This window comes from Homo sapiens, chromosome 3, assembly GCF_000001405.40.
Source record: "Homo sapiens chromosome 3, GRCh38.p14 Primary Assembly".
Taxonomy (NCBI): Eukaryota; Metazoa; Chordata; class Mammalia; order Primates; family Hominidae; genus Homo; species Homo sapiens.
The window spans coordinates 175,059,282-175,084,365 of record NC_000003.12 but is presented as its reverse complement, the minus strand read 5'-3'; the positions used below and the strand labels follow the sequence as shown (position 1 = coordinate 175,084,365).

General features: G+C 35.5%; 1 protein-coding gene, 1 long non-coding RNA gene and 1 pseudogene across 22 annotated transcripts in view; 2 read left to right on the top strand and 1 right to left on the bottom strand.

Annotated features, from left to right (window-relative positions):
- The window catches only part of NAALADL2-AS3 (NAALADL2 antisense RNA 3), a 35,931-nt gene extending 30,877 nt beyond the window's left edge, over positions 1-5,054 (top strand). The window contains exons 3-4 of the long non-coding RNA NR_046390.1: positions 3,164-3,301; positions 4,895-5,054. This is a non-coding gene — a long non-coding RNA (NAALADL2 antisense RNA 3). The remainder of the gene's footprint in view (positions 1-3,163; positions 3,302-4,894) is intronic.
- NAALADL2 (N-acetylated alpha-linked acidic dipeptidase like 2) overlaps positions 1-25,084 on the bottom strand; it is a 1,369,567-nt gene that overhangs the window by 726,183 nt on the left and 618,300 nt on the right. The window lies entirely within an intron of this gene.
- EEF1B2P8 (eukaryotic translation elongation factor 1 beta 2 pseudogene 8) lies at positions 24,256-25,051 on the top strand (annotated as a pseudogene).

Sequence of the window (25,084 nt, the reverse complement as noted above, 5' to 3'; positions counted from 1 at the left end):
TCTCGACCCTTTAGACCCAACTTGCCGGCAGCTGATCGCTACCAAGTGACAAGCAGTCAATGCCATGTGGAGCAAAAAAATAGGCCAGCTGAGACCTGCCTGTATTCCTGATCAAATAATGAGACATAATTAAATGACTGCTGTCAAAGCCACAAAATTTGGGGGGTAGCTTTTTACTCAGCAATAAATAACCAGACCACCACTCAAGCTATTTTTTCCAAAACACACACCTGATCACATCACTTGACTGCTTAAAATCCTATTCTGCACCAACATAAAATTGCAGATTCCTTTCCAAAGCATATAAGACCTTCATGTCCTGGCCTACACTTCCATTCTGATCCTTCCCACTACTCCCTGATTTCAAGCTTCTTCTCGGCATACACAGTGCATGTTCTTCCTCAGCCTGATTTGCCCTCAGGTTCAGTTCTTAATTTGTTGAGTTATCTTTTATCTTTGAAGCTTAGCGCTGTATCTGGAACCTGGTAGTTGCTCAATAAATAATAGTTTCAAAATAGGTATAGCATCTTAAAGAAAGTATAGAATTTTGGGTCAGATAATTGTCATTTTACCAGCAACAAGTTTGGTGGTAGGTATTTTAACTCATTCAGCCTTCAGAATAGGATAGTAATACCTCATCTACATACTTCTGAAAATTAATTGATGAATAAAGTTAAATATTAAATTAAAGGCATTTGATAAACTATAAAATCCTATGTAACTATTAGTTTTAATTATAAAATAATTATAAACTATTAGGAGTCAAGACAGCTAGGTTTGAATTCTGCATCCACAATTACTAGCTATGAACTCCAGAAAAAGTCACTGTTCTTCATAGGTAAAACTAGATTTTTTTTGGTGAAAACTAAATGAAATCATTTTATAAATGTGTGGTTTAAGTACTAGTTATTAATATTTTATTATTACTGAAAGGTCACAACTGATGAATAAAAGTTGGTTAACGTTAATTAAATGAATCATTCTTTCACATGTATGCACACGCCCAGACACCCCAAATTCTGAACACTGCAGATGTTGGGAGATAAATATGCATCATGAGTGCTTGAATTTCTCCAATCTCTGAAAAAGAAAACAAAGACTGGAATGAGAGGATGAACTTCCAGGCTGTGTGTCAGATGTGAAGGTTGTTTCCGGGGGAACAGGGGACAAAAGATGAGAAGGAAGAAAGAAGGAAGCAGCCTCTGGAGGGTGGTTCCTGGAAAATCCATCCTAGAATTTACCAACATCAAGTTCCTTAAACACATTATAAAGTTGTTATTTACATATGCCTTTCAGAACTGGTGTTTCTTATGTGGACAACACAGAGTTGAAAACTAAACCAGGTCCTGTATCTTACATCTCAAGGGGGATAATGTGAAGAGATCTATGTGAGAAAATTAATCCAACTCTCCTCCTGTACATAATACATTTTGAAAGGAATCTATCCAGAAAAATCCATTTAGCTATGCCCAGAACAATAAAGACTGACTGTGTAGAGACTGAAGTGCCTCAGTCCATCTGCTGATAGTATTTATTGCTTTTTGGCACCTTCTACATATTTACCAAGCCTATGTAAAAGAAAGCTATGCTTATTTTTAGGACAAAAACAGATGCTGTTCCAGCAGGTAATAATTTAATTAAATAGCTCCTAAAGCATGAACAAATTGTTCCAAAAAAAGAAAATATTTTTAGTTATTCTTTAAAAATAGGGAGGGAAAGAAAAAACTAAATCACATTTGACTTTCATTAATGCAATAAAGTTAGGTTTTACTAAATCTCCTGTTCTTAAAAAATAAAGTGCTTCTCCCTGTCTGCCTTCCTCCTGTATTGGAATCAAAATTGCCATAAGTAAAACTGATATTGTTTACCCAGCATAATTTATCACCTCTAAGAATTAATTTCAAGTTAAACATATTTTGATAAAGTTGAATTCATATATTCTTAGAAAATATCCCATTTTATGATAGTCAAATTAGTTGCATAATGCACTTTATGAACAAAATAAGATAGAAATAATAAACTACATATTTATAATAAACTTCAGACTCCAATAACCAAAACCAGTCTTCCATTCCACTTGAATCCACAAGACCCTTTTAAAGCCCCTGTTATACATAGATTAAAGATGTCATTATTAGTAGAAAACAATAACAGTTTTGCATTGTAATTTACTAAAGACTGTGCACTGGGTGTCAGACAGAAATGGGTATGAATCCCCAAATTGCCACTGATAGTGTGACTTTAGGCCAGAAATTGATGCCTTGAAGATTCCGTCACTTATTGTGTTTTAATAAACACACATACACACACACACACATACACATACACACACAAAGGGAACGAGAGAGAGAGAATGACAGTGGTTATAGGGCACTGTGAGACTTCAGTGAAAAAATTTCAATCACTTAGCACAGCTCTTAAGACAGAGTATGTGTTCCACAAATGGCTCCCAATCATCATTGCCTTTAAGATTATTAAGCAATAACAATATGCGTACAATATTAGAGTCATGAAAATATAAACCAAAAATGTACAATAAATGGTTCCAAGTAAATTACAATCTATCAGTTAAGAAAAAACTAACTATATGTACACTTTACCAGTTCGGAAGTAAATTGTGGGGTCTATCGTTAAGAAATCAGAAATGGTTAGGTTAAAGAGGGCTTCAACAAGAACCAATGCTGTGCTTTGAAGCCTTAAATAAAAAGATAATAAAGAAGAGCTGGTGGGAATATGCATTGATATGTAGGAGTCAGTGAAGTGATCTCCCTCAATGGAGAAAAAGGTACATATTAGAGGCCAGTAGGAAAGAAATTTAGATTGGTAGGATAAGAAGGGGGTCTTCATATGTCATTCCAGATTCTTCCAGGATAAAGACACCATGACATTTGAGTTTCACAAAATAATATAAATCAAGGAGAAGCTGGTATTAAAGACATTACTACAGTGAGGCAGGATAACTGGATTACCCCAGAAAGATATACAGATAGATACCAGTGAACATCAAAATCATTTATACTAAACGCTGATGAATTAGTACTCAAAGTGTATACACTTGGCTTAATCATTTTATGATCATTTATAATTACACTGTGTTATATTTATCACATTATATTTGATAACATAATTACACTTATAGAAATTTTGTCTTGTTTTGCTTCAGATAATGATGACAGCAATGCATTTTCTACATTCATATCCTCAATCATATGTTTTTGAATGCTTACTGGAAAACCGGTTTAAAAGAAAGGTGACTAGTTATTGGTCTTGCTCTGACAGCCGTGGAAACCATTTGCTGATGGTCAGTGTCCCATTTACAATCTATAGCAGTGAACCCTTGGGGAAGAGCTGAGGGATAGAGGGATATGAAATATGCTCCAGGCTCTTCTATTGCCCTTACGTACTTAATATCCAGTCCTGAATGATTCAACACTACTGACACTAACTCCAAAGAGATCTTTCTAAAGGCAAAATTCAATCTTATATTTTTCTCTTTAAAATTACACAACATAGTTAAGTGGTTTTATGAATCTAAATTGTTTTAAATTCTAATGACAGGAGTTAGCAGATTTACTGCATAGAAGATATTTACTAGGCACTGGACCAAATTAGTCTTGGTTAAAAATCACTAAATATAGGATTTCCAAGGTATTGAATCCCATTTTGATTTGTTCTTTCCACACAGATAAGTGATGATACAAATGTTTCAGTGTGCAAAATGTTTAGGAAAACTAATATTCTCATTTCCTATAGCCAATAATGTGTAAGATTTCAATGCTTTGTATATAAAACTCATACTGCCAAGCAGCTGCAATTCTGCTTCGATAAGCTTATATTATGATATATGAGCAAATCTTGCTAACTCTGGGAGAGTAGATAATTCATAAAGACACATATTTTAGTTGTCTTATTGATACAGTAGACTCTCACCAACTTGGAAAATTCGGTTTAGAATTAAGGTAAAGTTGGAAACCTGAAAACTACTTTCATTGCATAATTTGCAGTTTAAGAATTTCAGAACTGAAAGCAGAAATAAGTTATGTTAACTAAGATATCCACAGAGATAACCTCTTAACAGTTATTCTAAAAATAGTCTATAGTTCGCCGGGCACAGTGGCTCACGCCTGTAATCCCAGCATTTGGGAGGCCGAGGTGCGTGGATCACGAGGTCAGGAGATCGAGACCATCCTGGCTAACACGGTGAAAACCCGCCTCTACTAAAAATACAAAAAATTAGCCGGGCGCCGTGGCGGGCGCCTGTAGTCCCAGCTACTCGGGAGGCTGAGGCAGGAGAATGGCGTGAACCCGGGAGGCGGAGCTTGCAGTGAGCCGAGATCGCTCCACTGCACTCTAGCCTGGGTGACAAAGAGAGACTCCATCTCAAAAAAAAAAAAAGTCTATATTTCTAGAATATGTGAAATACCACCCTTAGAGTATGGCAATTCTTATATTTGCTAGGAATCAAAAATTAAAGACAGAAAGCTAAATTGAGGGCATATCAAGGGCATCCTGAATGATTTACATGAATAACTGTTTGAGTATGTGTTTACGTACGTGTGTGTGCACGTGCAGTTAGCTCTCTTATGGTCTTTGCTCCTTCAGGAATCCTTCCTATTGAGCTTAAAAAAGAAGCTTGCATATTCCTTTTATTTTGATCCAGAAGATATGCACATAAATAGTCACTTTCCCTAGTCTATATCTTATTCCAAAAATTAAAAATCATTCTTTGATATGGAGTTGTTTATGTCAATATCTCGAATCTCCTGCTTTAGACCCAGATAGTTAGTAATTTGGATGCCTTTATCCAAAAACATGTTAGAAAAATTTTTCAAAATATATACTTAAGACCTAGCATACTTTTTCAACATTTCTTTCTCTTAAAACTTTATTGCAGAAAGCACAAGCAACAACAACAAAAAAGATGAATAAACTGGATTTCAACAAAAACACATTTGTGCTTCAGAGAACATAATCAAGAAAGTGAAAAGGCAACCCACCAATGGGAGAACACAGTTTCAAAACATATATCTAATAAAATATTTGAGTCCAGATTATCTAAAGAACTCTTGCAACTTGTTAATACAAAGACAATCCAATTTAAAAAATGACAAATGATCTGAAAATAAATTCCTCGAAAGAAGATATACAAATGGCTAATAAGCACATGGAAAGAAACTAAATAGCATTAATCATTAGGAAAACACAAGTAAAAACCACAATAAAAAACCAATTCACACTCACTAAGGTAGTAATAACCAAAAAGACAGATGATAAGTGTTGGAAAGGATATTAGAGAAATTAGAACCCCATACGTTGCTAGTGGGAATGTATAATGGTGCAGCTGCTTTGGAAAATAGTCTGAGGTTTCCTCAAAAAGTTAAACATTGTGTTACTATATGATCCAATATTCTACTTCTAGGTATATACCCAAGAGAAATGAAAACATAACACAAACACTTGTACACAAATGTTTTAGAGCAGCATTAATCATAGTAGCCAAAAAGTTGAAACAACTGAAATATCCATAGACTGACGGAAGGATAAATAAAATGTGATACATCCATACATGGGAATATTATTCAGCAATAAAAATGAATTAAGTACTGATACATAGTAAAAAATGGATGAATCTCAAAAACATCTTCCTACGTGAAAGAAGTCAGTCACAAAAGACCACGTATTGGATACTTTTATTTACATTTAAGTCCAGAATAGGCAGATATAGAGACAGAAAGATTACTGGTTGCATGGGGCTGGGGCAGGAAAACTGGAGAAATTGGGGAGTGACAGTGTAACTGCTAATGAATGGGGACTTTATTTTTGGTACGATGAAATGTTCTACAACTGATTGGATCATGGTGATGGTTTTGTAACTGAATAAATTAAAAACCATCAAATTGCACACTTCATATGAGTGAATTTTATGGTTTTTAATTTATATCTAAATAATTTTTTAAAATTATTACATACTCTTATTATTGCTGCGCTGCATTTTGCTACAACTTTCTTTCCTAAACGTAAGATAAAGCTCCTTCATTTGGCTGTGTGCAGTGGCTCAAGCCTGTAATCCCAGCAATATTTGGGAGGCCAATGCGGGCAGATCACTTGAGGTCGGGAGTTTGAGACCAGCCTGGGCAACATGGCAAAACTTCGTCTGTAATAAAAATACAAAAATTAACCAGGCATGGTGGTGCATGCCTGTAATTCCACCTACTCAGGAGGCTGAGGCAGGGGAATTGCTTGAACCTGGGAGGCAGAGGTTGCAGTGATCAGAGATTATGCCACTGCACACCAGCCTGGGTGACGGAGTGAGATTGTCTCAAGAAAAAAAAAAAAAGAAAGAAAAGAACAAAACAAAACCGAACTCCTTCATTTGATCATTATTCTCATTATGAGTGTAGGTAGTCCATATAGGCTAGAGCAAAAATGGTGTACAGAGGTAAAACTATATATTCCAGTCTCACACAAGGAAACTTTCAGGTAGGGAAACGTTTTGCTTTCACTTCCTGTAGTCCATTGGTAAAGATTCCTTCTTCTTTTTCCGTATACATGCATTTCCTAATAAAAGAACCATGCACACCCATAATGATTATATTTTTAAAAAAGTAAAACATTATATATAGGATATCAGAACCACAAGCAATTTTTTTAAAAGAGCAGCTGCCTCTATTAGTAAATATTCACATGCCATTTATAGTATATTTATGATATTACTATATAAATAGCATTGCCTTTATACTTCTGTTTAATAATGCTAATGGAATGGTAAATATATTAAAAAGCTCAAATTCATTACATTTTAAATATTTTAAATGCCTTTTTGACAGCTTTATGCATAAGAAACAAAGTTAGAAATATTTCTGCCTGTGATTTTTTTCTGATTTCCCATACATATTTTGAAACACAAGACTTTAAATTTAAATGCTGGCTAGCATACACGGAAAAAATACTGGGTGCTCCAGATGTTTTGTTTAACTTCACTGTGTACATTATTGTTGTTTTCCTTTCTGCTTTTCTTTTCCTTTCACAGACTAGAACGTCAAACAAAGCCACACTAAAGGCCACTTTGATGTAGAAACAGCCAAATTTCTAGGGTCTCTCCAATCGTTTTACACATTTAAAGCTTGAAATATTAAATAAGCTGAAATAAATGCTCATTTTTTAAATTTCCTAAAACACTTCAAATACTTCAGACTAGGCTTGTCATTTGAAAAAATACAGAAGAGCAGATCTGAATAAAATTCATTTAACTTCACAGTACATCTGCCATTTGAAAACATTTTTTTTCTATTGAACACAGCTTAATGAACCTTTAATTTACCTTTCATTCAGTATCCACTGAGGGTCATTAAAAGACAAAGTCTAAGTCACTGCACTTAATTACAGTCATCATATGTTATTATGTATTATTATAGAACACCATATGCCAATTATCATGGGACTTTGATACTGAAAAACTACAAAACTGCACACACATATCACTTGTGCTATAGAACTATATTTGAACAATATCTTTGCACATAAACAGTACCTTTAAAGTATTTGCATTTGAGAGTGTATGCTTTATAGATTTCAAAACTAAATATTTTATTTAGTATAATTGTGTCAATTGTTCCCTAATTATATCTAGATATTGGACTACATTCCAACTTACAACCAGAAACTCTAAAAGAAACAGAATTATCATTACATTTAGATATCAAAACACATTGAGATCAAACAATATTTTATACATTTGACTTTTAGAAAGATGAGGTAAGTAACAAGCCAAGATATGTCCAATATTTATTCATGAAATATTAGCAGGGTCGTCATTTTCCCAGTCCCACTGTTGATAGTCAATGAACTTCCCCTTTTCTTTGATGCCTTCTGTGTTTTTCTTACTTCTTAATGTTGTGTCCAGCGAGAAATAGTCTATATTACACACTGCTATCAGAGTTATCTTTTAAAATCGAGCATATCTGGTTTAGTCTCTGCCCCTTTTAAGAACTGTCTTTAGACACCTATTCTTCTCTAGAATAAAGTAAAAAAAAAAAAAAAAAAGCATGAAATACACGATTTGGCAGAAGCAAGACCCAACATGTCTTTCACATCTCATCTAATCTTTTCTTATGACATTTTTCATTTTCATTGTTTTGAGACAGTCCCTGTCACCTGTCACCTGGGATGGAGTGCAGTGGCGCAATCTCAGCTCATTGCAACTTCCACCTCCAAGGTTCAATCTATTCTAGTGCCTCAGCTTCCCAAGTAGCTGGGATTACAGGCTTGCAGCACCACAACTGGCTAATTTTTGTATCTTTAGTAGAGACGGAATTTTGCCATGTTGCCCAGGCTGGTCTTGAACTCCTGGCCTCAAGTGATCCCCCTACCTCGGCCTCCTAAAGTACTGGGATTACGTGAACCACTCACTATGCCTGGCCTGTTATGACATATTATTTTATACACAGTAGTGAGCACCTGTGTACCTACTACCCAGCTAATCAATTTACCTTATTTTATCTATTTTTAGACTTTTTTTCTATTTTAATATCTGTGCGTTCGTAGTTAGTTTTTACAGTTACCATAGTTCAGGTGTCAGTTGTGACACAATTTTACTTGTTTGTGCATGCATTAACTTGGTTATTATTCTGGGCCTGACTAGACAACTTTCGTCCCTCAGGTTTCAAGTTATTGAACCATTTAAAGATCATTTTAGGAAGAATGAGGAGTCTTGTTTGTTGTTGAAAACCCTCCATTGATATCTTTTGGTAAGTTCAGGAAATGATTAGTATCAAAACTTGCAGAATGGCCACCACTGGCTTGGAAGAAAGTCCCAGGGACTAAAATGGAACATTGTTTTAATGAAAATTGCATCACTATTTTGTTAATAGCACAGAGGGTGACACTGCATGGAGAAATACAGGCATTAAAAATTCTGAGTCAAAAAGATTTGAATGAGTCATCCTCTGAATGTAAAATGTTTTAGAAAGAGCTTCATTTACTTTGTAGTTTCCTTTTTATATATAAACAAGACTGATATGTAACAACATAATAAGCTTTGCATAAAGCAGACTAAAAGAGATCTTACAATAAGTATAACATAAAAATTCTAAGTTTCTGTTTCTTAGAGATACACAAAATAATAGCATACGTTACAATTGTGTCTTAGGTTCAGTGACTGTTTGACAGCTTCACCACTTATATTTTGGACAAGTTGCTTAGCCACTCTGAAATTCAATTTTCTCATCTGAAAAATGGTGGTAATAATAAAACCCAGCTCATAGGGTTATTGCTAAGATTATAGGAGGTAGAACAGTGCTTGGCATATATTAGTGTTCAATAATGTTAACTGTCCCTGTCTCGTCCATTGTTTTATATGGAATTGCTTACGTATCTCTCTAACACCTATTTTATTTTTTCATAAATACTTTTGTCTTCTTCCACTTTTCTACTCTTCCTCCTCCTCCTTCTCCTTCTCTGCTCTTCATCTCCTTACTCCTCCTTTTTCTCTTATTACGAAGAATACTTAACTAACATAATAGTAGAAAGAATAATATATCAACCATTCACCCCTGGTACTCATCCCTAGCACCACTGATCATCAGTCTACTCCCATGCACGTTCCTATCCACTCTCCCCTCAGACTGAAAAAAATAACAAAAACCCTCAGCCATATCATTTTATGCATAGTTATTTCAGTATGTAATTTTAAAAGACAAAGACTATTTTTAATATACCTATAGTATCATTATCCACCTAAAATAATTAACAGTAACTCCCTAATATAGTCAAGTATCTAGGGAATGTTCAAACCACAATTTTTTTTTGAATAAATAATACTCGATGTACTCCAGTTGCAAAGACTGGAAAGTTAATGTATTTATTTCAAAAAAATTCAATAACAACAATTTAAATTGTTGAATAAAAGGAGGAAATACAAAACAGTAGTACCCAGGATGCTAGATTATCTTAACTTTAACGTCTTATATTTACCAGCTATTAAAAATTGGGCTTTGAGAATATTTTTGATAAATAAAGTAAATCTGGCCTAAAATAACTTACATATCACCAAATATATCCTCACGTTAATAGCTTTGATTAGCATTACGTTAGATTGCTATACCTGAGACATGTGAGTCAAAAGTTAAACAAAGGTTAGTAATTATTCTAAAAAATCTAATCATACCTGCTTCATCTTGTTCTTTGATGCATTTTCTAGAAACATAATTTTTGGTAAATTCATTCATTAATTTAACAGCTATTGAGAACCTACTATGTGCTGCCAGTCACTTCTAGACATAGGGAGTAGAACAGTAAAAAAAAGCTAAAATCCCCACCCTTATGGAACTCACTTCTAGTAGAATGAGAGAAACAAAAAACAAACACACAGGAAAGTTTCATGTATACAGTGTGTGAGATGGTGCATGGAAAGAAAAACCCTGAATACATAGGAAATGGGGTGCAAATGGTAGGGGAGGGGGCTTGCAGTTTTCAATAAGTGGTGAAAGAAGTCCTAACTGAGGTTTTCTTTTTATGACGATCATTCCATTCGAATTACTGTCTTTTATAAGGAATACATCAAACTAATAATAAAATAATGAGTATTCAGCACCACAATAACCACTAGTTTCTACTCCGTTCTTCTCTTGAGTAACACTGAACATAAACACCAAAATTCAGCTGTAGGTCAAAGGATGTTGCAAAGGATTTAGTTGACATAAAACTGTAGAACAGACTTGAAATACATTCTTCACAATACTTCAGAATAAATGAAAATATAATTCATGCCAGTAACAAGGTTAAAAAAATAACACTCGAACATTTTCACTTCAATTCAGACAAGTAATTGTATTAGTAAAATGAGCCTAGGAACAAACCTCCTGTCTGATGTTCCAGGTAACCGTGGTAACCTCTCTTTGGAGCTACTGAATTACACTGTCTACATGACTACTTTCTATATAACTTACGATGATGATTTAGAAGAGAAATATAGAGCTGCTCTGTATTGCCACAACTGATCTCAAAGTTGTAAGATCACCACTTTTGCAATCACTTCTTTGTTAGAGGGCCAAATAAAATTTTTTCAAGGCAACTCTAACAGCAAACAATATAAACTTTGATCCTGTTTAACCCTTTCAGATATAAAACAAACAAATCTGATATTAGCATTACAAAAAATCACTAATCAAACAATGTCTCATTAGTAACTGAGGAGAGAAGGCAATTGTGGTATTCAATTTATACATTTGGCCTAAAAATTATTTAATGATATTTTAAAACATCACTGAGTGCCAACAGATTTGTGGCAAGGCTGGCACACTCTAAACAGTATGAATGGGCACAACACTTTAGGAAGACATACCAAAGTTCTTGAAATGTCTATATTTATAGTTCATTTCTAAAATCTAGCCTAAGAAATTAAAAGAAAATAAAACAAAATTGCATGCATATAAATTTTCATTGCAATCATTTATAAAAAAGCAGAGTGACTTTTTTGCCTCTTTAAATATTTATTAACTTTTCCATTTTTCGTTTTTTTTCTTTTATTGCTATACTTTAAGTTTTAGGGTACATGTGCACAATGTGCAGGTTTGTTACATATGTATACATGTGCCATGTTGGTGTGCTGCACCCATTAACTCGTCATTTAGCATTAGGTATATCTCCTAATGCTATCCCTCCCCCCTCCCCCCACCCCGTTTTTCAATAATTAACCTAGGATATAGTTATACTCAGTAGAAAGAAAAGCAATTGGACATCTCCTAATGATACATGTAACAATGAGAAGTCTAGTAGTAATGTCTGTTCAAGATGGATAAGCCACCCTCCATTTTAAGTTGCAGAGGTAACTCATACAATGATATAGAATCAAGAGAGGGAATAAAATTCTTGCCAAACGTTTTTAAAGATGACTCTTTTCATTTTAGACATAGCTAGATAATTTTGCATGTCCTCAAATGTTCATATTCAAATATTTGATGTCTAATTTTAAAAAGATAACTATAAAAATAACAACTAGCATTTATTAAGAATTTACATCATGACTTTAAATCTAAATAAAACCTTTTGAAAGTGGTTATTTAATGATCCCCATTTTCAGATAAAGAAACTAAGATTTTGAAAGGTTAGGTCACTTGCCTATGGCAGGATAAACATGTGAATTCAGGATACATGACTCCCCAGTTCCTAATCACAACACTAGCCTGTCCTTTTTTGTGTAAAGCTTGTAGAACTCTTTCAACAGTCCTGAATGGCAACTAATGTAAAGACTCCATGGCAAACTCTAGAGCTTATTTTGATGTTGTGGGTTTTACACTGTGACCATATTTTCTGAACCACAAAATGTACATATATTCCGACAAGTTCAAATATGCTTATAGGGAAAAAAGAATATGTGAAGTGGAAACAATCCTAGAAAAGACAGAATATATGACTGCCACATCATATAGTTAAAAACAGCAGTTGATATGAAAAAAATACCAGAGAGTTAATACTGAAACTCTGGTGAGGACCAGACTTAAGAAGTCACTGGGGAATTAAATAACTAGTTATTTCATCTCTTTTCATGTTTTTCATTGCTCAAATTTGCTACAATTTTTTTAATATCCTTTGTTTCTGCTTCTCTCATTTTTCTTCAAATGCTTTGCAATATCATTTCCTTCCAACAAATACCCTAAGCTGTTTTGATACCAGGCATTGGTGGCTGTGTCCATTTGGCCCAATAACATTCCCCAGTCAACTGATACAACCAATTAATTGGGGACGGTACACAATCTCACACACTAAACTTATCAAGCATGTTCAGCATGAGATAACATGTTTAAATATAATATTTTATACAGGAGTGTTACAAATGTGTTATACTCTCCCAGAGGTATGTAAGGGTAATATGTGTGAATATATAAATATATGAAAAACTGTATGCACACAACTGACATAACAAAAAGAGAAAAGAATGACTTCCATATTAACTTATAATTTAATAGAAGCAAATGGAGACAACTTTGTAAAGTAGCCTTTGAAAATCCAATGATAAGGTTATGTTTCCAAAAATTCGTGTAAAGGAATACATGACCTATAATAGCACATATTTAAAATATCTTAGCATAGTCAGAAATAAAAACAGAGCTGAAAAACATTCTTTACACCAAAACAAGTCAGACACGCTTTGTGGCATTAATTGGCATGTGTTATTTATTGACTGAGAACTTTAGGAGACACTTGCACTTACCTAGAAAGTGAGTCAGTGTTTGTGCTTGCCCCTGCAGTGCACTAACTGGCACTCAAGGGACCTAACTGGCTTCCTCCTAGCACTGTTGTAACATCAAGAGAAGCCAGCTAAGTCCTCAGCACAGGAAGGTCACTGTTCTTAGACACATCTTCAACCTACTAATAGAACATCTTGAATGACATCTATTTTATAACACTGAGATCGTATGTCTTAAAAAGGGTCTAGAGCAATAGGTCAACAAATTCACAAACATAGGAAAGCACAGTTACTGCAAAAATTATTCACTCACATACAAAATATATGTTATACTATTAATATATTTACTATGTACTTTTATTTTTCAAATAAATATTAGTGATGGATTAATAAATATGTATTTACTTTAATATGGTACTAAATTCATCCAAAGCAATTCATTCAAAGTAATTCACCATGCTTTCTCAATCAACAAACATTAAAAAGTCAACTGAAATAATATAAGTCTATTAAAAAGTATCTGCATATTTGACATGTTGGGATTCCCTATACCATAGCATAATTTTCCTTTGATAGGTAGTGACTCATTCAAACACCTTAGGCAAACAGAATGTGCTACACTTTAGTAATTATAATAAGGTTATCAATTTTTAAAAGCCAGCCACTTTACTTCATCAATGAGCTGAAGCAACACTAGAAGATTAGGAAGGCTTATCAGTTCAAGACACTTTGAGACAAGTCCAGCAGTTATACAATTAAGTTTTAATGATTTCTACATCATCTAGGAGATTCTCATTATATGCAATAAAAGCTAACCTAATAGTGTTTTACAATTCCTTATTTCACCGAATCACCACAAGGTCTAATAATTCTATGTTCGAATCCTAAAAATAAAAATTTATACTTTTGCAGAGAATTACATAAAATGCCTAAGACAATATTTTGAAAACTGATAGATTTAAGATTTTTTATTGTAATTTTTATTTTTATTTTTTATTTTTATTTTAGTTTATTATTATTATACTTTAAGTTTTAGGGTACATGTGCACAATGTGCAGGTTAGTTACATATGTATACATGTGCCATGCTGGTGTGCTGCACCCATTAACTCGTCATTTAGCATTAGGTATATCTCCTAAAGCTATCCCTCCCCCCTCCCCCTACCCCACAACAGTCCCCAGAGTGTGATGTTCCCCTTCCTGTGTCCATGTGTTCTCATTGTTCAATTCTCACCTATGAGTGAGAATATGCGGTGTTTGGTTTTTTGTTCTTGCGATAGTTTACTGAGAATGATGATTTCCAATTTCATCCATGTCCCTACAAAGGACATGAACTCATCATTTTTTATGGCTGCATAGTATTCCATGGTGTATATGTGCCACATTTTCTTAATCCAGTCTATCATTGTTGGACATTTGCGTTGGTTCCAAGTCTTTGCTATTGTGAATAGTGCCACAATAAACATATGTGTGCATGTGTCTTTATAGCAGTATGATTTATAGTCCTTTGGGTATATACCCAGTAATGGGATGGCTGGGTCAAATGGTATTTCTAGTTCTAGATCCCTGAGGAATCGCCACACTGACTTCCACAATGGTTGAACTAGTTTACAGTCCCACCAACACTGTAAAAGTGTTCCTATTTCTCCACATCCTCTCCAGCACCTGTTGTTTCCTGACTTTTTAATGATTGCCATTCTAACTGGTGTGAGATGGTATCTCATTGTGCTTTTGATTTGCATTTCTCTGATGGCCAGTGATGGTGAGCATTTTTTCATGTGTGTTTTGGCTGCATAAATGTCTTCTTTTGAGAAGTGTCTGTTCATGTCCTTTGCCCGCTTTTTGATGGGGTTGTTTGTTTTTTTCTTGTAAATTTGTTTGAGTTCATTGTAGATTCTGGATATTAGCCCTTTGTCAGATGAGTAGGTTGCGAAAATTTTCTCCCATTTTGTAGGTTGCCTGTTCACTCTGATGGTAGTTTCTTTTGCTGTGCTGAAGCTCTTTAGTTTAATTAGATCCCATTTGTCAATTTTGGCTTTTGTTGCCATTGCTTTTGGTGTTTGAGACATGAAGTCCTTGCCCATGCCTATGTCCTGAATGGTAATGCCTAGGTTTTCTTCTAGGGTTTTTATTGTTTTAGGTCTAACGTTTAAGTCTTTAATCCATCTTGAATTAATTTTTGTTAAAATACAGTTTTTGGAACTCTCTCCTCCCCCAAACAATTAAAACATAAGTGGCGTATGGGGAATTTAACCAACATATAATTGCTGGCAATTTTCTTAATGGTTGATCTATTTTAGAGGAACCCATGCTCCCAATTGAGTTTTCCATGGAAGATACCAAGTGCATACTTTTTCAAAGGTATTCTGATTGCAAATGTTGCGTCCCAGATGGTTATTTATTGAGTTAAAATATAACTCGACCAATGTTTACAAACCAATAAATTATAAATCTTATCTCCAGGACTATTTTCTTCAAAAGCTTTCATTTTCATTTTCACTACCAGAGTTTGCTATCTTTGATGCTAAATTTTTCACTTTATTCCCAAGTGAACTTGATAGCAAGACCTAAGTTAAACTTTGCACTCATCCTCAGTCACAGAGAACCCCAAGAGACGTCCTCCCAAGTTTGCGAGAGACAACACTGAATGGAAGAATCTCCTTATCTCTCCAAATCTTCACAAATGCCTTTCTTTTGAGGTGGTCTATCACAACATTCAATGTTTTGTTTTGTTTTTAATTCTCTTGAGTCTTTGAATATTATGCATATACTTTAGAAAGTTCTGAAATTTCTTCTCTCATATCACCCTTTATTTCTATAACTTTTAAATTATTTCAAATGATGTCCATCTATAACTTTTAAAAATCATCCATTCCTGTGAGGAGTAAGAAGTGTAAAAACTAATTTTTTATTCTATTGTTTTACAAGCTCAACTTTTCTTTTAGATTCAGGGGTACATGTGCAGGTTTGTTACATAGGCATATTGCATGAAGCTAAGGATTTCAGGTTCAAAAGATCCCAACATCCAGGTAGTGAACACAGTACCCAAAAGGTAGTTTTTCAGCCTTTGCCCCACCTTCCTTTCCCCCGACTGTAATAGTTCCTAGAGTCTCTCATTCCCATCTTTATTTCCAGGAGTACGCAATGTTTAGCTCCCACCTACAAATGAGAACATGTGGTATATGGTTTTCTATTCCTACATTAATTCACTTAGGATTATGACCTCCAGCTCCATTCATGTTGTTTCAAAGACTTCATTTCATTCTTTTTTTAGCTGCATTGTATTTCATGGTGTATATATACCACATTTTCTTTATCCTATCTACCATTGATAGGCACATGGGTGGATTCCATGTCTTTGCTATTTTGAATGGTGCTGTGATGAACATACAAGTGGCTGTGTCTTTTTGGTATAATAAATTACTTTCTTTTGGATATATACCTAGTAGGGATTGCTGGGTCAAACGGTAGTTCTGCTTTTAGTTCTTTGAGGCATCTCCAGACTGCTTTCCACAGTAACTAAGCTAATTTACATTCCCACCAACAGTGTATAAGCATTCCTTTTTCTCTGCAGCCCTGCAGCATCTGTTATTTTTTGTCTTTTTAACAATAACCATTCTGACTAGTGTGAGATGGTATCTTATTGTGGTTTTATTTTACATTTCTCTGATAATCAGTGATGTTGAGCATTGTTTTCATACGTCTGTTGGCCGCTGATATGTCTTGTTTTGAGAAGTGTCTGTGTCCTTTGCCCACCTTTTAATGTCTGTTGTTGTTGTTTGCTTGTTGAGTTGTTTAAGTTTCTTATGAAATCTAGATATTAGTCCTGGGTTGGATGCATAGTTTGCAAATACATTCTCCCATTCTGTAGGCTGCCTGATTACTCTGCTGATAGCTTCTTTTGCGGTGCCAAAGCTCTTCAGTTTAATTAGGTTCCACTAGTCAATTTTTGTTTTTGTTGTAATCGCTTTTGAGAACTTAGTCATAAATTCTTTCCCAAGGCCCACGTCCAGAATGGTGTCTCCTATGTTTTCTTCTAGGATTTTTACAGTTTGAGGTCTTACATTTAAATCTTTAAGAGAGCATTTTACAAGGTAAGAAAACTCAGCATATTTCTATCTTGATCAAAAATAGGAATCCACAACCTTCTTTTAGCAAACTGAGGATTCAGTATTGAGTGCTTAGGCAATTAACTTTAAAAATCAAAGGGAAATAATTAGATAGGCCTTGACATTTACAAAGATTTACAGGATGCCTCCAAATTTCCTTTTAATTTATTGATTCTTGGTTAAATGACAACATGGGTATCAGGAAAGCTGTTGTCTCTGTTGTGGGCAAACACTAGATTGCCTACATGTGTGTTCACAAGCGACATCTCACCTGTTTTTGGATTATTGTAGCCAGACACTGAAAAGCCTGACAAGGTCTTTGATAGGGGCAAGGATCAAGGATAATCTAGAGTGGATACACTTCCTTCCTGTCAGATTAAACTCTAAATGCAAGACTTTTTTTTAAACAAGAATTTATTAACAATATCTTCCAGGAAAAGCATCCAAACTAACCAAGAAACAATCCCACCTCACCATAAGCCATTCAGGGTAAAAGAGCAGTTGTGTAACAGCCACAAGGGTTTTCCCTCTTTTCCAGTTACAAGCACTTTTGGTTGTTTCTGCTGCTGAAAAAGCAGGTACTGAGCATCTACTTTGTGGCAGTCTCAGTGCAAGGTGCTGGATAGAGCACTGAAGAGACAGTCCCTGCCCTCATGGAACTTCCGGTTTGGTGTACAATTTAGATAAGCAACTACACACAGCACTACATGATAGTGATATGGAGGCCCAGGAGCACTCAAGAAAGCTGCCTAACCCAGGCTTGGAGGGTTAGGAAAGGCTCCTCAGAGAAGGTGACAGGTAACCTAACTACTTCTGTCCTCATAGTACGTGCAATGTCATTTTCTGTTTGTGGTTACTATAACTCGTGTCTTTCCCTGAAATGTGGATCTGTCTCATCAACCTCTCCTTTCACACACCTAGTTCTGGAGAGTGGTGGAACAGTCACCCTGTTTCAGTGATTGCAGAGTGGCTACATTTCAGGATTTCCACTTGTTCTCTGCAGTGCAGTGAATACAGACACTGAAGGGGCTAACTGGTTGAATCTCAAAGTGCATTCGGTTACACTGTTCCCGTTATACATCCTTTCACTCATATCTGGAGCTTGATGGCAACATTAAGACCGAATACCGTTATGTGAGAGGGTCTCTGACCTTCTTGATTCAATTCTCTATATCTCTGTTGCTCACAGCTATATGGAAACTTACATAACTAAATTCAGAATCAGCTTTCAATTCATTCTACATTATTGATAAAAGGGCTAGGTTTTTCTCGGGTTCAGTGAACACGGTTTATAACAGTGCAGTTTCCTGAATGTGCTTTTAAAGCTCATAGTGACTTCTGACTCTCTTTTTTTTCTCCATGACCTTTGACAAGGATTGCAGCCAGCTGCAGTGGAAGAGCTTACCATATGTTGAAAACTGTATTGTGACACCTGCTCTTACATTCCTTGTTTCAAACATAAATGTGTCTAAAATGACTTGAATTACACAGGCTTGCTTCTCTTCACTGGTGACAGAGATGGGACTGGTAGGACATCCTCCATTTAAACTGGGATTACTATACCTTGTATGTCTTTTGACATGGTTCAACAAGATCATTAAATCTGGTCATAGCTATCTAAAAATTTAAAGACTATCCCCTTGCAAATTCTATGTAGAATCAGCTCACTTTGTTTTTTGACTCTGAAAGAATCTAATAATAGGCATTAACAGTTTTAGAGCAAGATTACAAAGCTCTGCAGCATACTAAAATGAATATTATTTGTTTTCCCAGTGATTTATAGTAAGACTTCAGCAAGGGAGTCCCGACGACAATAGAAGCACTAGGTTGTTAAGCGTCTCCTAAATGTGGGTCCATCAAGCAGCACAGTGCCCAGGTAAGTAAATTACATAAGGTCTCAATAGTAATGTCTCGCCCAGGATTCAAATTCAGCTCTGACATCAAAGTCACTTGAATTTCCAGGTCTCCTAGCTGCCTTCATAGTGACTATTCCTTCTTTTTAAATGTTGGTTAGAAGACTTGTAATTTTTTTTCTCACTTTTTACTCTGATATATTATTAATATATGTAATTGTCGAAAATGAATTTTTAAATCAATAAGTGATTAGATGAAGTACTTTTCAAACTACGCATTATTTAATCATATCTTAAGGTAACAAAAAAGCTTCCTTCTACTTAAAGCCAAGCCAGTTTAGTTGGAGTTTTGATGAAAACCAAGCCAATTTTGTTGGAGTTTTACAAACAGCTCCACCGGGAAGGATTTCTACGCAGAGAGTTTTCACTGGCCCCTCCAGATCAGCTCCACCCTTCTTCAGGCTGCTTTGTTCCCAGAGAAGCTAACAAGTATGAGCTACATGAGTAAGATCACTTCCACTCTGGCTGCTAGTTGGATTTGGCCAATGAGGGCCAAGAGTTGGAGATCACTGGTCAGGAGGAGAGTGAGGTCAGAGTGTTTGTTTCCCAAGCTTCCTCCCTGATAAGTCACAGAAAGTTGACCCTGTCCCTGACTCAAGGCCACGGCTACTCCAGTGATGTCTTCTACCTAACTCTCCTTTCAGACTGTTTCATCTGCCCCCTGCCCTTTAGGGAGAGGGCAGTTAAGGCGCCCTGGATGCCAGCCCTGAGGCACTTTGCCTAAAATTGCCTACATCTTTACTCAGCTTGAGTATATGATCTGTTTCCTCACTGATACAATCCCAAATAAGTAACATATCCTGGACTTGGAACTTAGAGAAGTGAGCATCATCACTTGATTTCTTAAGAAACTACATTGTTTGAACCTGTTGTCTTGGTGGTTTTGTTGTCGTTTTTCTTTTTTTTTTTTTCTTCTTTTCCCCAAGAGTAAACTATTTTCTTCATGGCAAATCTCTATCCTAACACCAACAATACCACCATCTTCACAATCCAACTCCATAAACTGATTTGCTTTTGATTGCTGCCTCCAAAGAGAGTCTATATAAGATCTAGACAACGACAGGTTGAAGAGAACTGGAATAAATTCCTGGGATGAACCTGGTTCCTGGGTATACAGGATTTCTGAACTTCACATTGTTTTACCCATCACAGAATTTTGACTATTAAGTGACAGCTGAATTATTGCAGTGTCACAGAGTAACTCAGCAGGATTTAGGATTATGAAAACATTTGTATCACTTATTAGTTAAATAGCATTTAAAAATTAAACAACTGATTTGACAAATACGGATGTAGTTGCCTAATATAGATAATTTTTAAGCGTTATTTTAAACTGCTAAAAAGCTTGAGGAACAAATCCTTCCAAAAACAGACTGGGCCGGGTGCAATGGTTCATGCCTGTAATCTCAGCACTTTAGGAGGCAGAGGCAGGAGCATTGGTTTAGCCTAAGAGTTTGAGACTAGCCTGGGCAATGTAGGGAGATCCATCTCTATAAAAAATAGAAGTAAAAAAATTAGTGGGGACATAGTGGCACATTCCTGTGGCCTCAACTACTGGGGAGGCTAAGGCAAGAGGACTGCTTGGGCTCAGAAGGTGGAGGCTGCAGTGAGCTGTGATGACAAGACTGCATTCCAGGCTGGGTGACAGAACAAGACCCTGTCTCAAAAGCAGTAAAATATATATAAACAGGCTGTTTATATATATTTTACTCTGCCTCCTAAAGTGCTGAGATTACAGGCATGAACCATTGCACCTGGACCAGTCTATGTTTCGAAGGATTTGTTCCTCAAGCTTTTTAGCAGTTTAAAATAATGCTTAAAAATTACCTATATTAAGCAACTACATACATATTTATCAAATCAATTGTTTAATTTTTAAATACTATTTAACTAACAAGCGATAAAAATGTTTTCATAATCCTAAATCCTGCCAAGTTACTCTGTGACACTGCAATAATTCAGCTGTCACTTAAAGGTAAACAGACTGTTCACCTTTGCATTATAATTATTTTGTCTCCTTTTCCTGAACTTTTACCTACTAGTTGACTTTCTCAAAACTGTATACTTACATTGTTTTCACCAACAAAAAACATAGCCAGCTCCATTTTATAAAAATATATGTAGAAAAAAATATGTTAAGTATGAAATACATTATTATCACAGAGTTTACAAGTAAAAAATTTATTTAGTAAATAAACCAAAGTTTCTTTGGTTCTTTCTCCAGAGATATATTTATAAGTGAAATAGGAAGGGGAGTTTAATATATTGAAATCCAAGTATGATTTCCCTTGCAGCCTATGAGCACTTTCATCTTTCTCTTGAAAAGAGAGTCTGTGAGTGCTTGCTAAATACAATTAGGGTTTGTTTTCTTTCTGCATGTCTTTGGGTTTACACAAACCGAAACAGATTAAAACATACATATGATAGTTAAATAGTTCTTGCTAAGTGATTGGTTAAGATTAAGTTTATAAAATCAAATGAAAAAATTAGCCCCGTTATAGAGACAAATGGATCAATAGCATTTCCTTGCCCTAAATAATGTAAGAGCATTTATAGTTCTATGATAGTAGTAATTCCCAACCACCACTTTGGAAGAAATAGCTGGGCATTTCAAATGTCATTCACAGTTGGAAACACACACACACACACACACACACACACACACACACACACACACACACAGCCAAACTTCCAGCCCTACAAACAGGATGGAGAGGCACTGATAACAATCATTATTACAAGTTAAGTGGTGTCACAAGCCCAAGTTCAAATTTATCTTCCCAGCATCTAGCAAAGAACTAGCTGAGCCAACAATCTCCAAAAAATAAGATTGCCATAGAATGAGCAAAATATCAAGGCCTGTGACCTTGAGTTTCTTTCTCTATCAATAATCCTGTCAGGATGGCAAAAGTACATTGTTTAACCAAAACAAGCTCCTGCAGTTTTCCTTCAAGATTAAGTTGCTGTCTCTATTACCTCACCCAAATAGTAATGCTAAATTAGAAAAGATTCAAAGCAGTAGACATTTATCCTCTCTTCATTCAAAGTTAACACCATCTCTTTCCACTGTTCTGACAGTAATTAAATGGGTTTTGTTCATGTTAAATAAAAGAAAATAAAGACTCCTTTCCCCCTTTTCTTTCTTAAACTTACCAAGAAACTTCTGGGCTTCCCTTGCACCTGTGATCCAGCTTTTCTGCTACCATAATGTATGAGTTCCAGTTGTGGTTAAGTCCCATCTGTTTGAATCCAGTTGAAGACTTCTATATTTACCCAAGTGCATCTATGTATCTCCTTTAATGCAAGACTTTCCTTAGTACAACTTAGAATGGCTAATACAGGCAAAATTACATAGGCATAAGCTCATGGATTTACTACAATATATAATTTTGTGGTGTATAAAACTATATATATATATATATATATATATTTGTGCAAGTGAGCAGGTGAAACTAAATAACTGATTTTATTCCTTATATTTGGAAAATGAATGGAAGAGAAATAATCTATGTTTCCTAAGACTGAGGAAATTTAGATATTTTTGATTCAAATTTGGACACTGCTATATCCTTCTTTCCACTTACTTTCTCCCTCCCCATCCATGGAACAATCTAGAGTACTTGGTTTCTTTTGCCATCACTTTAGCCAGCCCTAGCAGAAGACTATGAAGTTGTGCATTTGAAATGTCTATGGATGAAGACTTTAAACAGGAAAACATCCAGCACATGTAACAGCAACAGATGTAACAGAATATTTTCATATAAAATTCCAGTGTAGATTTATTTTCTCATACTTTATTTTCACTGAATAATAAAACCAGCTGATCATAATTCTGCTTATAAAATGCTTTCCTTGCTGCTTAAAATCATTATTGACTTATGAAAGACCATTAGCTTTTTCATCTGCACATGAACTAATTCCAATTTATTTAGGCTTTTCTCATTGGTAATATTGTCTGGCATTTTAATGAGGTTGTTGCCCTCTTCTACTCTTTTCTTAAATATCTCATATTCCAATTTTTTTAAGAAAAGAAAAATGGATGACTGCATGACTATGTATTTATAAAATTACAAATACATTATGCTTCTCTGAAGGATTTTTTTTGTTTTTTTGAGACGGAGTTTCGCTCTTGTTGCCCAGGCTGAGGTGCAATGGCACGATCTCAGCTCACTGCAACCTCCACCTCCCGGGTTCAAGCCATTCTCCTGCCTCAGCCTCCCAAATAGCTGGGATTACCGCATGTGCCACCATGCCTGGCTAATTTTGTATTTTTAGTAGAGATGGGATTTCTCCATGTTGATCAGGCTGGTCTCAAACTCCCAACCTCAGGTGATCCACTCACCTCGGCCTCCCAAAGTGCTGGGATTACAGGCATGAGCCACGGCACTCAGAATGAAGAATTTCTTTATAAACTCACAGTCAGCTTGTGGTCCACACTGAGTCCCAGATATTGTCCTACTATGTATACCCTGTAGCTAACACAGTGAAATAGCTAATATAGTACGGCTATTGGCTTTAATGCCCAGATAGTAAAGATCATTTTGAGTTATATTTGTAAAGTTACTTGTATAAATATTAACAATGTTCAATGTTAATAATTAAACACAACATACTATTCATACAATTGAGATTAATTTTAAAGAACTATCCAGAGCAAAAGCATTAATTGAAAATATTTAAAACAATGCCTATCCGTCAAATGTAGCACTTGCCATTTGTGGGATATTTGACAGATTGCTCACACTCTGTAACCTTTCTTATAAGTGAAGTCTATAAAACAGAAATCATATCACCGCAATTTTGGAACATGTGGATGAAATTCTATTTGTATTTACGAACTTTTCTTCCTTTCTTTCTCCACAGATATGTTTATAAGTGAAATAGGAAGGGGACTTTAATATATTGAAATCCAAGTATGATTTCCCTGGCAGCCTATGAGCACTTTCATCTTTCTCTTGAAAAGACAGGCTGTGACAGCTTGCTAAATACAGTTGGGGTTTGTTTTCTTTCTGTGTGTCTTCGGGTTTTAACAAACCAAAACTAGCTTTTTTTCCCTCTCTTAGCAGGGGTGCCCACAATTTACACTCTTTCATTTTGCTGCTACCCAGCTCTCAAATACAGCTGACACCATGGGTTTCAGAGACCTGAAAAGCCCTGCTGGCCTCCATGTGCTCAATGATTACCTGGCAGACAAGAGCTACATCGAAGGTTATGTGCCACCACAAGCAGATGTGGCAGTATTTGAAGCAGTCTCTGGCCCATTGCCTGTGAACTCGTGTCTTGCCCTATGTTGGTAAAGTCACATCAATTCTCATGAAAAGAAAAGGCCAGCCTTCCAGGAGTGAAGAAACCTTTGGGCAAATACGGTGCTGCTAATGTAGAAGACACTACAGGAAGCAGAGCTGCAAATAGTAAAGATGATGATGACATTGATCTCCTTGGATCTGATAAGGAGGAGGAAGGTGAAGCAGCAAAGAGGTTAATGGAAGAATGGCTTGCCCAGAATGAATCAAAGAAAGCCAAAAAACATGCACTTGTTGCCATTTTCCATCATACTGATGTGAAACCGTGGGATGATGTGGCAGATATGGCAAAACTAGAGGAATGTGTTAGAAGCATTCAAGCAGACGGCTTAGTCTAGGGCTCCTCTAAACTAGTTCTGATGGAATATGTAATTTAAAAACTTCAAATCCAGTGTGTAACTGAAGATGATAAAGTTGGAGCAGATACACTGGCGGAGCAGGTCACTGCTTTTGAGGATTCTGTGTAGTCGATGGATATGGCTGCTTTCCATAAGACCGAAAATTCACCCCAGATCATTGCACTTAAAATTAAAACTTGAAAAAAAAATAAATAAACACAGCTCAAAGTCTCCTA